Source organism: Homo sapiens, chromosome 12 (genome assembly GCF_000001405.40).
Source record: "Homo sapiens chromosome 12, GRCh38.p14 Primary Assembly".
Lineage (NCBI taxonomy): Eukaryota > Metazoa > Chordata > Mammalia > Primates > Hominidae > Homo > Homo sapiens.
The window spans coordinates 38840766-38855404 of NC_000012.12; the positions used below are offsets into that span (position 1 = coordinate 38840766).

Consider the following 14639-nt stretch of genomic DNA (forward strand, 5'->3'; position numbering starts at 1 on the left):
CAGTTGGTACTGGAAATTAATCAGTTCTTGGAAAGAGTCTGCAATACGATCATTCATTATCACTTTATCCCCTGGCATTAAAGAGTTTGTAGAAGTAGAGAGGACACTGATAGTCAAAATACCTTCAATTTGCCAAATTCTTGTATAGGAAAATATTTGTACTGACTACAGTCTTTCTCCCAAATCATATTCATTTCAAATTTCTTGTGAATAACCTCCTACCAAAAATTAACTGCCTCTTTAAAGGTTAAAGTCTCCTCTCTCACATAAGAATGTTCTCACAAATAAAGAAAACATCTCAATCATTAAAAGTTCACTGAGTATACGGATGCTAGGCAGAGGGTCCATTCACTCTCTAGCAAAGAATGTTTACCATAAACTAGCTTTAGAATTGCAATGGTTCTAGGTAATAATCATCCAGGGATACTAAGGCTTTGAGGTGAAAGGACAGGGTCTTTTCTAATCAGGCAGACAACACCTGAACAATCTTAGCATTACTCCAAGTGATGGGATGTGAGAGAGAACACACAGAGCCACTCTATAGAGATCGAATTTCTTGCCTCACCTTCTCTTTTAAAAAATATTATGAATCTCATCAACAGATAACTGGTATTAAAAAAGGGAAGGAAAGTATTATAGAATACAGGAGACACAGGAGAAAAATACAATGTGTGACTCTTGTTTGGAGCCTGACTTAAACTAATTGTAAGACATTTTTAAGACAATCAGAGAAATTTCCAAATGGCCTGAATGTTAGCTGCCAGTAAGTAGTTATTTGGGGTAAGGCTGGACAATGGCGTGGTGGTCTTATAAAAACAAGCAAACAAACAGGAGGTTCATAAATAAGCATCCTTATCTGTGAGAGCTTTATTTTGAAGTATTGGTAGGTGAAATGATTTGCTTTAAAGTGATTCAGCAATAAGTATATAATAAATAACCTGGAGAAAGTAAATGAACCAAAACTGGCAATACATACATGCCACTTTTGAATCTGCTTGAAAATGTCCATGATAAAACTTAAAATATTTAGAGCTTTTTCTGTCTTTATCAAAATAGTCTCTCCTCCAGAAGTCCTGTGACTTCCTTTCCACAGGGAGAAGCAGAAAGATGAAGGATTAAATGCAGAGAATATGACTTCTTGTTATTATTTTTTAAATAAGGAGGAAGTTAATTGCCTCTCTCTTCCAACAGCACACACTCATTATGACCTGTTTACCTACATAAATGAATTTATTTTCATACTTTAATAATTAAATTTTACAATAGCAAAAAAAAAAAAAAGCATGATGCAAAAACCTGCCTCAGAAGAATTACAAATTACTCTCCTTCGCATCAAGGCATTCTGAGCACTTTCAACAGCTATAGCCTGGAATTTTAAATCAGCAAATTGCCAACATTTACTGTAGAACTACAGTTGCTAGTACAAAAAAATACATTTTTTTATCCAAGAAATGTTTCTTATATAAGAAAATTTTTTTAAAGGTAAGATTGAAATTAGCAACTTAAACAATATCAGAGATGAAACATAGCTGTGCTAGCTCCTTCTCAAAAATCAACTCTGGAAACTATCTTCTAAAAAGAACCGAGTGTGGACTGGGGAGAAATGACATCGAATGTTCAATTAAGAAGTAAAAGGAAAATGTTTTCATCACAAAAAGCTTAAGTATCTTCAAATACAATCCTCTTTCACTGTATTTTACAAAGCTTTTTAAATACCATTATCTCATAGGTAATTTACATGATATACCTGAATACAATAATACAATATGTTAGATTATAAAGCATTAGAAATTAACATTTTTCCTTTTTTTTTTTTTTTTTTTTTTTGGAGTCAGAGTCTCACTCTGTTGCCCAGGCTGGAGTGCACTGGTGCAATCTCAGCTCACAGCAACCTCCGCCTCCCCGGTCCAAGTGATTCTCCTGCCTCAGCCTCCAGAGTCACTGGGGTGACATAGGTGCCCGCCATCACACCTGGCTAATTTTTGTATTTTTAGTAGAGACGGGGTTTCACCATGTTGGCCAGGCTGGTCTCGAACTACTAACCTCAAGTAATCCGCCCCCCTCAGCCTCCAAAAAGTGCTGGGATTACAGGCGTGAGCCACCGTGCCTAGCCTAAAATTACCATCTTTCTTTTAACACAATTTTTCTTCTAACTTTTCTAAATATATCAAGACTTCTCCAGTCCCACTCTCACAGGTCATAACATAAACACTACATCCTAACTGGTTACAATGTATACGTGTACCTGTGTATCTGTTTATAAGTTCCATACTTTCTTTAAGGAAGACAGAATATATGATCATGGAGGAAGCTTGGTAGTTTCTCCTAAGAGGATGCATCCACTGTGCCTAAATTTAGTAACAAATTTTGCAAACAACTTCATCCTGCCATTGAAACCTTATTACTACAGTAATGAATTGGCAGTAGCTGATTTGGGTGCCCCTTAGGATTACGTTTTTGATTCAAGAGTAACAGATATTGATGGAAATTTTTCTTGTATTTCTGGAATTGCAACTAAGGCCCAAAGAAAAAAAACAAAATATGTGATCATGCTTAGCTCAGAGCTACTGAATCAATCACATTAGGGTCACATACTTTCTCCCTAAAGTTCAGGGGACCAGTCCATGGCCAGGTGATGAACACACTATTCATAAGTGAAGACTTTTCCCTCTCTGTTGGGGGGCAGTAGGGAGGTTCTTTCCACTCCCCAAAGCCAAGTAAAGTATGGCTCCAAAATCTGGGATGCCTGCAAGGTATCTGGGATGCCTGCAAGAAGGGGAGTGCAGCATCTGGTTCATCAGTAAGCTACGGGGCCCTGCTGCAAGTCCACCCTGGGGCTGTCAATAAAAGAGAAACTCACTAGGAAGTTCTAGAAAGTGCTTTCTGAGTGACGAAAAACATAGAATAATGTCCTTTTTGGCCCCTCCTCCATAAGGACAAGACAAGCAAAGTACTTAAAATGTGTCCTCTGAGGCTGATTCCCACATAAGGTCTGGATTTTTTGGACGGTAGGAGACCCCCATCTCTGTCTCCCAACACCGCCTACCTTTTTGCATTCCCACCTCCCTTCTGTCCTGCAAGGAGCTGGGCAATAGCTCCAGCTGAAGGGAGTGCAAGGGAAAAGTCTTAAATGAAGTTTGAGATTAAGGTTTTAAAATAAAAAGTACCTAACAATTAACAGAGTAAGATGGTTCTAAGAAACAAAAGTGACTGGAAAGGCATGAAATTAGACTTCGACATTGTTAAGGGAGCCCTTAACCAATGGGAAAAACCACAGTTGACATGGTGTTGGGACAACTACTAGAAGAAATAAAACAACTTATTTTTCCTCAAAGTGTTGAGATCCATCTAAAATATTTTATAATAACATTATACATTTCATGATTATTACCATTTTATTTATCAAGAAAGAAAATAATTATCTAGGTAAGTCATATCTAGACTCAGATATCCCTTTTTAGTGTTCCAATCTGAATGGAAAAACGAATGAGAAGAGTTATTTCTGAATTATCCTCTATCTGGCACATACTACGAAGTGATAAGGCTATCCACACTTCCTGCTCAAACGCATTTTGGTACAGCTACTCTACCAATAATAAAGTTTTCAACCATGACAACAAAATGGATTTATTAGGAACCTGTATTATCATCAGTGTGATAATTATAATGAAAATAAATAAATGTCAAAGTTTATTACTTTCTCTGTGATATATACATAGCATGATGAAAGAAACCATGTCTCCTGAATGAGTAAGCACATACCAGATCAAAAAGGCAAGGGAATTTTAGGACTTATAGCCGATAAGGTAATCTTGAAAATATATCTCAGACATACCATAGTAACAATAAAAAAAATTATTATCGGTTAACTATTATAGTACTTATAAGAATTTGGGTCAGTGGTAGCAGAAATAAGTTGTCTCTATCTCTTTCTCTCTCTTTTTCTCTCACTGTCGTTACAATTATTTCAGCACTGAAATTTTTTTAAGTTTATAAAAGCCATTTCTAAAACCTGTTATAATATCCAGTTTAGATAAAACATGTTCAAAGCTTCTTTTTTAACTTGTTTAGACTTTTATAAAATCAACAGGCATTAAGTAAACCCAAAACAATTCTGAAAACCATTTACATCTATCTGTTGGTCAATTTACACTAGTGCATCTTTCAGCATGCTGTTCCTTCAACGAACTACATTACTACAGTGAAAATTGATCACACAAAATGAGGTCATTTTTGTCACACCCAACTAAAACAGAATCAGGACCGATTTTCCCCATGGCAGCAGAGCCATGGGGAAAATCACTTGGGAGTCACAAACACCTACTCCAAGAACTGTCTCACAAGCCCAATCCAAAACCTCAAGGACCTGCTGTGATTTTGAGACAAGTTTAACCTAGTAATTGCCACCCCTTACCAATCAGAGATCACCAGCTTCTGTAAGACACAACCAGCATCAATAAAGTTTCTTTCAAAACAACCTATGTAATTTTTCTCTTTTCCCAGTAAAACTCCAGCCTTTCCTTTTGTTCTCTAACACACCAGAAACCATTCTGGTACGTGTGTGTACGTGTGCAAATTGCAATTCTAATTATTGTATATTATTCCTAAATAAACACTTTTCTTAGAGATTAATCTCTGTATGTATTTACTTAAGGCTGATACTGCCAATATGTCAGAATATTTGCAGTAGTTCTCTGGGTAGTAGAGGTTGGGACTACTGGGAATTTGTATTGCCTACTTTAATCTTTTTTATTTTCCAATTTTTTTACCATGAATATGTTACTTTTACTAGGAATAACACATTGCTAAGAATTTTAAAAACCAATATCACAGGTATAATATATATATATATAACTCGTGAACTATTACACTATTTCCACATTTACTTATGTAGATATCCTGAAGAAATCACAAAAATAATAATGATGATAATAATAATAAGCCTGTTCTTTCAGGTTAAAGGTTATTATGTGAGTATTCTAAAAAATGGAAAATCAAAAGGAATTAAAGTGATAGCAAAGACACTACATGAACTAAGATGATGGACTTGTTACTCCTCTTGATGATCTTCTGCAGGTAACCCTTTCTAGCCCTAATTGTTTGAACTTTTCAGCAATCATATAAAATGGAGATGTTCTTTGAATTGAATTTCTGAAACTAACAAAATACATGCAAAAGGTAAAACAATACTTATTTAATTCCATTTTGCAATATGCTTTCCCATTTCAAACGTTACACTGTTTCTGTAAAAATTGCTTCAACTTCAATTAGGAAGTTAAAATATATCCATTTACTTAACATTAATTTATGTTACTTTATAGTTTCCTGACACTCTGAGATAAATGTTCCTGGAACAGACAAGTTTTGAGTATCAGGTAATGAATGAAGAGCAGGACATGGATCTAAAAATCAGAGCTAAATAACAGACGAGGAGTTCAGGGAAGTAACAAAGCTTATAGGATCTCCAATGTTGAAATCAAAATAAAATACACAGATGAATCTCTAAATTAAATCTTTTATTTGGGATGCACAGAATTGCAATTCAGGGCATATACATGCAGACCAGGGTGATTTTCATTCAGTATGTCCAAAAAACTAAGAGAAGGTTGGGAGTTTTATTAGAAAGAGAAAAGCTATATATTGTTTTGAAAGAAAACTGATTGGCACTACAGAAGATTTTGGGAGCTGGCAAAAGTGGCAATTGGTGAGTGATGGTGGTAGGTAAAACTAGTCTTAGAGTCATGGCAGGTCATGACTGTTCTTTAGGGTTACATTGGACCGGTTCAGCAACTGGCCTTGTGGAAAATTCAATTCTTGGAACAGGTGCTATAAGTGCTTTTTCCCCCTGGCCTGTTGACTCTGATTTAGTTGAGTATGACAAGAATGACTCAATTCATATAATTAACTTTCACACCAAGTTGATTTCAAAGATTTAGAACCAGACAGTGGGTACTCCTGTCTGCATCCTATAATCCTAAAATTTGGCTGTAAGTCATTTGTCCTCTGAAAACGTAAAGTATACATAAATATATACTACAAAAAGATTTGCATCCAAGGAAACTCACTGCAGGATTATATGTAGTAGGAAAAATGGAACCAGCCAAATGCCCATCAGTAAGTGTTTGGTTAAATAAATTACAGTTATTTTGAACAATGGAAATTATATAACCTTTAAAATGAATGTGGTATATGCATATTTTGTGGCATAAAAGGATATCTGCAAAATACAAGGTAAAGGAAAATATATTTATTGCAATTCCTGTATGCATATGTGTATGCTTAAAGAAAAAAAAAATCCCAGCATATACATTGAGTCATTTGCAGGTTTGGGAGGGGAGGCAATGCTTTTTTGTATTAGGATAAAAGGAAGCTTTCATTTTAAATGTCTATATCACTTAAAGTTTGCAATAAATATTTATTACTTTCAACAGTGAAAACAATGCAGATGAATGAGAAAGGAAGAAAAAGAAAGGAAAAAACAAAGGGGGGAACAAAGAATCATGAAATAGAGGCTGGTTTTAACATAAAGTTAAGTCTGGGATTAAGCAGGAAAAATTAAGAGTCCCATGCTGGTGTAAAAGAAAATTCTTAAAAAGCAATTGCTACCAAGGCCCAGAATAATGGGAGAATTCAACCACATACTACATGACTTATATCTGTTTTTTAGTGGCAACGCTATGTGCAGCCTCTAAAATAAACATAATCAGGAAGTTACTACATTTCATTTCAGTTTCTCTTCCAATGAGCCTCATTTTTACTATTTGCAAAGGAGTTTCTAAAAAATAAAAAACCAAATGTGGATGTAATAAATTTTGTTTGATAAATATGACGAATACTCAACATTCCTGAAGAAAGAAGCTAGTATAAGATCTTTTTTAAACACAAGCACTGCAGGTTATTTTACCATGCATATTTTAGAGGAAAATGAGAAAGACTAGTAACAGTAAAGAGCTGTTATTTTTTACATTATGAAGCAAATTATGACTTTTTCAAATAAGATGTTGATAGCTTTTGTTATCAAAAAGTATTTATAAATTGTAAAAGTATGGTACATCAGAATTTTCAGCTATTTAAAATAAGACATTTATCTTTTAATGTTCATGAATTTCCTTTAATTATTTTCATATTTTAAGCATATTTTACCCACCTGCCCACAACAGATTTCCTTTTAACCATATCCAGATACTTCAACAATCACTACAGTTCACTTCTGTGGAAAAAAAACTCTATAATAATATAAACAGGCTGACTCTAGGTTCTCTGTGGACAGGAACTTGGATTTGACAATAATGTTTTAATATGCCAGACTTAGTATCAAAGTAACAAGAATACTTAACATATTTAAAATGCTGACTCGATTATCCTGGTCCTTGGAAAAATACAAGGCTACCAAGGGATGAATGGAAGCCATAGTTAGGCAGAGATCCAGGTGCTATGCTAAGAAGCTGCTGAGCCAAACTTAAGATCTGAGAGACATCAGCCATGGGAGTGGATGTGATAACTTTGGAGTATACATAGAACTTGTAGGAAATCCACTGAAGCACAGGGCAGTTGGGAAGAATGTCCATATACACCGTCCTGCATGGCTAAACTGCTCACCTATTCATTCAACATGTATTCAGACCTACAAAATGCAAAGCAGGGGGCTTGCTTGGGCCACACTCTGAACAGAATTAATCTGGTTTCCTGCCAATATAATCTAGAACTCAGTGCAACCATAGGACCCTGCCTTACATTAGTAATATTGTCTTTAAAATCAAATTTTTCTAAACGCAAGTTTTAGTAGAACTTACAAGTCAAAACGAAGATTCTCTCTTTCTTCAAAAAAGTAGTCCAGAATAAACTTTCTTACAAAATCAGGATTTAAAGTATTATCAATTACTTCAGTTCTTCCAAACTGTGGAAAGAGAGAGAGAATTTAAAATTAAACCTTGTACGGCTACTTATTACAAGTATAGTACTTAATATCACACAGTTCTTTTAAAAAACAAGCAATAAATATCCAAATAATAGAAATTTTTTAGCGATAAAATCACCTCTCTTATTTATTCAGGGAAATCATAAAATAAGCCCTGAGTTCATTCAAAAATCAGCTTCTCCCCAAAATTCATATGACAAACCATAATGCTTCTCCTTCTCCTCTCCCTACTTGAAAGTTAAATCCTCTTTTAATGAAAAGAAGTTATTTCTACCTAAAATTTAAATGTATTATAAATTATTTTCCTAACCTTGTATATAAGAAGGCCAGACACTACATATTCTTATAATTGAAGAGATCATAGTATTCATAACCTTCCTCCTCTTTTTATACATAACAGTCCCATATACAATGCCGTTTATTAGCCATGTTTTGGGGAGAATGCTCTGAAAATCTCCTACACACATATGTCACAACAATCAGTTGTTTCTGATTAATCATGTTTTAATTCTTACCATATCTAGATAGCTAAAATGGGACCTATACTTCTTGCATCTTTTAAAGCAATATGCTGCACTTTAGCTTAGAAAAGTGGAAAACAGGAAAAAATATTCCACTTTCTAGTCCTCCCTCCTTTCAATGTGAAAGAAGGCCATTTGGCACTTCTCCCAAAGATAGAGCACAAATATAAAATTTACATCTCTTTTCTATCCTTGGCTTACATTCTTCCCTTCCAACTCCCATGGAATTCTAATGAGAGAATTTTAACTTCAGTTCTGAGCAATATTAGGCAATGAAGCATGCTGTCTTATCACAAACCAACTTTTATTAAAGTTCAATGAAATATTATCTTTTTAATAGGAAAAGAGAAGAACTATGATAATCCATTAAAATGTGAAGCTTTCTTAAATTGTAATAATAAAACTGTAGTACAAAATATTGATGACATAGGATTTACTAAGGCTACTTCCAATGGATCACTCCCAAAAAGAACAAATTTTCAGAGGCCTATGCCATTGGACAATGTTTTATATCACAGACCAATATCATACAGACAAATTATAACCCACGTCACTAATTCAACATTTCAATAATATTGAGAATTTACTTTAAACAATAATATCAATTACAGCCACCAGTTATTGAGTATTTACCTTGTTCCAAGCACTTTTCACACATTACTTTCAATATTTACTATAATTCTGCATGGTAGAACTAGCCCCATTTTAGAGATAAGAAAATTAAAGCAGAGTTTCAACCTAAGTCACTTTGGCTACAAAATCTGCATTCTTTCTAGGACTCTCCTCTATTTAAGTGTAAAACATAGGCCCTGGAGAAGATACAACAATGAGCCTATCCATTTTAATTTTCTAATCTGAAGGGAGTGGGAATAAGAGTATATACCCAAATAACCAGGGGCTGGCAGTGCTCGCGTACTTCAAGAGAACTGTGCAGAGGTCAGTAAGTTCAAGTATAAACCAGAGGGACCCTCCACCCTCCCACTGTTCCTACTGCTGGGAGGAAAAACTGTTTCCAAACCAGAGCAGAGAGCACTAAAGCAGCAAATGCACAACACTCTCAAAGAGAGGCTCAGCCAGTACCCATATTCCCAAGTATCTGGATTTTTAACCCAAACTCACACTCAGAGAGAATTTTTTAAAATGAAGTGAAATTTCCCACAGTAAGCCCCATTGAGGTGCAGCCAGCAACTCCCCAGAGCCTATTAGCCCTTAAAACACACACAAGCCTATTTCTCATAGAATGCTGGCTCCTCAGCAATAGGAGTGACTGAGTATACTCTGCTATCTCTAGTAAAGATTAATTTGTAGCCATTAAAATCCTGGTTTTAGCAAATCATCTATATATTATGACTATATCCATTACAATATGTCTTCTACCACACAGCCCTGAAATTGTTTTTGATGATATCACCAGTGACCTTCATATTGCTAAATCCAGTGGTCACTTCTGGCCCTCATCTTGCCAGATCTCTCAGCAGCATGTGACACAGCTGTCCACTCATTCTTTTTAGAAGCCGTCTTTCCTGACTTTTGACACCACATTCCTCTGTGTTTCTCCTCTTCTCAGATTCTCAAGCATTCAACATCTCATTGGCAGAGCTCAGTTCAAGGCACTCTTGTTCTCTATACAATCACTTTTTATTAGGTTATTTCATCTGTTCCTGCTATAGTTTGAATGTATCCCTTCCAAAATTCAGGTGTTACCAATGTGACAGTATTAAGATATAGAGCATTTAAGAAGTGATTAGGCCATGAGGGCACCTTTCTCATGAATGGCAGGAAGGCCCTTATGAAAGAGGCTTCATACAGCATTTGGCCATCATTTGCCCTTCCGTCTTCCACCATGTGATACAGCAAGAATGCCCTCACCAGATGCCAGCGCCTTGATCTTGGGCTTCCCAGACTTCAGAACTGTGAGAAAATAAATTTCTCTTCTTTTTAAATTACGTGGTCTCAGGTATTCTGTTACAGCAACACAAAACAGACCAGGATAATTTATTTGGTTTTAAATCCCATCTACATGATAACTTCCAAAGGCATGTCATCAGCTCTGAGACTCACTTCTGGGTATTCATGCATACAACTGCTTTTTTAACTTATACAAGTGGTTGTCTTATAGATCCCTCAAAAGTATCATCCAAACATAAAATAATTATTTTATATCACAAACATCACCCTAATACTGGTGCTTACCAAGTTTACTTCTTGTCAATAAATGTTACCACTATCCACTTGATTAATCAGACCATAAATGAAAGTCATCAATCTCAAGTCTTTCTTTTTAATCTGCCAACTCCTATTCATCACTGCCTCATAAGTTATCAGTTATAACTCCAAAACATGCCTCACAGCTGTTTACTTCTCTCCATAGCTCCCATCATCAGCCTAACTCAAGCTTTTCTTCCCTCTTATGGTCTACCCAAAGGGCCTCCTAACTTACATTTCTGCTTCTTCTTCTTTTATTCTCCTTCCAATTCATCTTCTATGTGACATCCAGAATAATCTTTTGAAAATGTAAACATGCCCATGTCATTCCACCAGCCAAAAAATTTTAATGGCTTCCTGTAGTACTTATAATAAAATCTCTTTTCTTTGGTCTAAAGGTCCTGGCTCCTATTTTCCTCTCTAACCTCATTTTAGGCAGTATCCCTTCTTTCTCTTTGCTCCAGCCTCCTGGCCTTCTTGTAGGCCCTTTTACACACCAAACCCTTTCTTACCTCATGGCCTTTGCACCTGCTATTTCCTCTTACTAGAATGTTCTTAACCCCATCCTTGAATGGCTGACTTTTTCCTCATCCTTTAAGCCTCTGCTTAAATGTCAGCATGTCAGCTCTAAACATCAATCTGAAATAGGTGCTCCATTCTTAGTCTCTCTCATAGCACCTGTCTTCCCCCTTAATAAAACTTATATTTTGCTACTATACATTTAAATGTTTATGTAGGCTGGGCGCGGTGGCTCACACCTGTAATTCCAGCACTTTGGGAGGCCAAGGTGGGCAGATCACCTGAGGTTAGGGGTTCAAGACCAGCCTGACCAACATGGAGAAACCCCGTCTCTACTAAAAATACAAAAAATTAGCCAGGCGTGGTGGCAGGCGCCTGTAGCCCCAGCTACTCGGGAGGCTGAGGCAGGAGAATGGCATGAACCTGGGAAGTGGAGCTTGCAGTGAGCCAAGATCGCGCCACTGCACTCCCAGCCTGGGCAACAGAGTGAGCTCTGTCTCAAAAAAAAAAAAAAAAAAAAAAAATTAGCCAGGCGTGGTGGCGCATGCCTGTAATCCCAGTTACTCAGGAGGCTGAGGCAGGAGAATCACTTGAACCTAGGAGGCGGAGGTTGCGGTGAGCCAAGATCGCGCCATTGCATTTCAGCCTGGGCAACAAGAGTGAAACTCCATCTCAAAAAATAAAAATAAAAATAAAATGTTTATGTTTCCCCCACTAGACAGTAAGCTTCGTGAAGGAACAGGACACAGACATGTGTTTGATTTACACCTGAATAAAATTGAACAAATGGTTAAATAAGGGAGATCTGAGATATAAATATCAAGGTTCAGAAAATATATCAAGGGTAATATATAGTATAATACCAATTTTGGTATATGTATAGCATAATACCAATTTGATTAAAACATAAGCATATATATGCATATATATATATATGGAAAAAAATAGAATACAGTGTACCAGAATGTAATGATTATCATCTAATTTTTTAAAACTGTATTATGCATTTCTGGGTTTTCCCAATTTCTTGCAATGAGTAGAATTTACTTTTAAAATCAGAAACAAAAAACTTTCAGGCAGTTTTCCTGTTTTTAGTTCACTCTATTATAAAAAGTGAAAACTGGAAATAATAAGAAATCTACAGATATGTTATGACTAGTTCAGCTTATGGGAAATACACTGGTTATTTCCTGGATGCTGGAATGTATTAGCTATCAACCAAGTGATTAATCTTTTTGACTTGAAGTAAAATTTACATCTTAGCTAATGTCTTATGCTACTAAATAAATAATTGCTAATTCTTTGGAAAATGTGCAGTGCATATCATTCTATACCTATCAAAGGGGTGTAAAATTTTGAGGAAAGACAATTATTAATAATATTTGTTGATGTTATACACCCAGAAACAGCTACATTTTAAAGAATTTTAACTTGTGTCCTAAAAAGTCTCGTTCTGAATATCAATAATACTAGATTATCAAAAGTACCTATGAACCTAATTACAATAACCTCTGGCACAATGTACATGTACAAATATGCGGAAGCCAAGCACTTTTACATAATGATACAGTATTAAGTTTTCATAAACTTATAATTAGGAAACTATTCTTTTATTCACCAAGTATGAAAATTTTCAGTTATTTGAAAAAAAAAGTGTGTAAACTTAAATTTGTTAAAACCAGAAAACACTGTTCCTTTTAAAATTCCAAGCAAAAAGTGAAAAACAATTCACAATCAAGTCTTTCAAAGTTTTCCTTTGTTTTATGCTTGAGCTAATTGGAAAAATAGCTACTTTTCCAATTTAGGAACAAATCTTGTAGAAAATGATAGAATAGAAATACTCCTCATTTCTAAATCAACTAATTATTAAACTACTTCAGAGAAGCAGTACTGGAAAGAACACTCAGTAACTTCATCTATTTATGGCACCAAGCAGATGAACTATGTTTTGATAAAAATGTTCAGAAAGTTTTAATATATTATGAAGGCCCAGCACAACCACCCAGTCTCACATTCACTTGTCAAGTGAAAGTGATGAAGAAAAAAGGTCATCTGAACAACTGCACATCTTTAATTCAATTATTATGTTATAATTAAATCTTAGTAGCCATGATATACAGCCACACTTTCCAGAGATTACACAAGAGTAAATTAGATGAGTACGGGAGTACGGTAGGCAGAATATTCTGACATAATATTAAGATAAATTTAATCTAAAACCGCAATTTAGGACTATAAATATCCAACTTGCATGAAGGATACCAAACATACAAACACACACAGCTACACACACAAAGAAGGTTTACATTCTCATACTCTTCCTCTTGGAAATAAAACACTGGCCTCAACAGAGACTCCACAGCCCTCTTCTTATAAGAGGAAGACATATAGCTCTGTTATATAACTCATTATCCGAGGCATTTTTTTCACAATCCAATAATACGAAACTCACTTTATTATACGTCTATCCTATCAGTTCTGTCCCTCTAGAGAACCCTGACTAACACACCCTGATACCAAAGCCAGACAAAAACATTATAAGAAAAGAAAACTAAAGGCAGCTATCTTTGATGATCACAGGTGCAAAAATCTTGAACAAAATACTATCAGCCTGAATTCAACAGCACATTAAAAGAATAATTTATCGTAGGTGGGATTTATCCCTGGGATGCAAGGATGGTTCAACATACACAACTCCATAAAGATGATACAGTACGTTAACAGAACGAATTATGAAAACTATATGATCAACTCAATGGAGCCAAAAAGGCTTTTAACAACATTAAAGAAAGTTTCCAGATAAAAATTCAAAACAAGTTAAGTTTTAAAGGAATATACCTCTATACAATAAAAGACATATATGAAAAGCCCACAGCTAACATCATACTGAAAGCTTTTCTTCCAATTCAGGAACAAGACAAGGATGCCCACTCTCACACTTCTACTTAACATAGGACTACAAGTTCTAGCCAGAGCAGTTAGACAAGAAAAAGAAATAAAAGGCATGCAAATTGGAAAGAAAGAAGTGAAACTGTTTCTATTTGCCAATGACATGATCTTATATAGAGAAAGTTCTAGACTCCACCAATAAACTATTTCAACTGATAAAGTCAGTAAAGTTACAGGATACAAAATCAACACAGAAAAATCAGTAGTATTTCTTTACACTAACAACAAATTATCTGAAAAAGAAATTAAGAAAATCCCATTCACAATAACATGAAAAAACACAAAATACTAAGGAGTAAATTTAACCAAAAAGGTGGAAAATCTATATAATAAAAAAAAACACTGATGAAAGAAATAATTATGACACAAATAAATGGAAAACTATTCTATGTTCATGGACTGAAAATTGAATATAGCTAAAATGGCCATATTACATAAATGATGTAATCTCTATCAAAATTCCAAGTCATTTTTCACAGAAATAGAAAATACAATCCTAAGTTTTATATAGAACCACAAAAGATCCC

General features: G+C 35.1%; 1 protein-coding gene across 7 annotated transcripts in view; it reads right to left on the minus strand.

Moving 5' to 3' along the window:
• CPNE8 (copine 8) overlaps positions 1-14639 on the minus strand; it is a 254633-nt gene that overhangs the window by 188563 nt on the left and 51431 nt on the right. For all 7 annotated transcript variants that reach the window (XR_245896.5, XR_007063052.1, XM_017018852.2 and 4 more), the window contains exon 4: positions 7794-7897. Coding sequence is in view for 4 of the 7 variants with exons in the window: in NM_153634.3 (NP_705898.1) it covers positions 7794-7897 (104 nt within the window). In the remaining 3 variants the exon portion in view is untranslated. The remainder of the gene's footprint in view (positions 1-7793; positions 7898-14639) is intronic.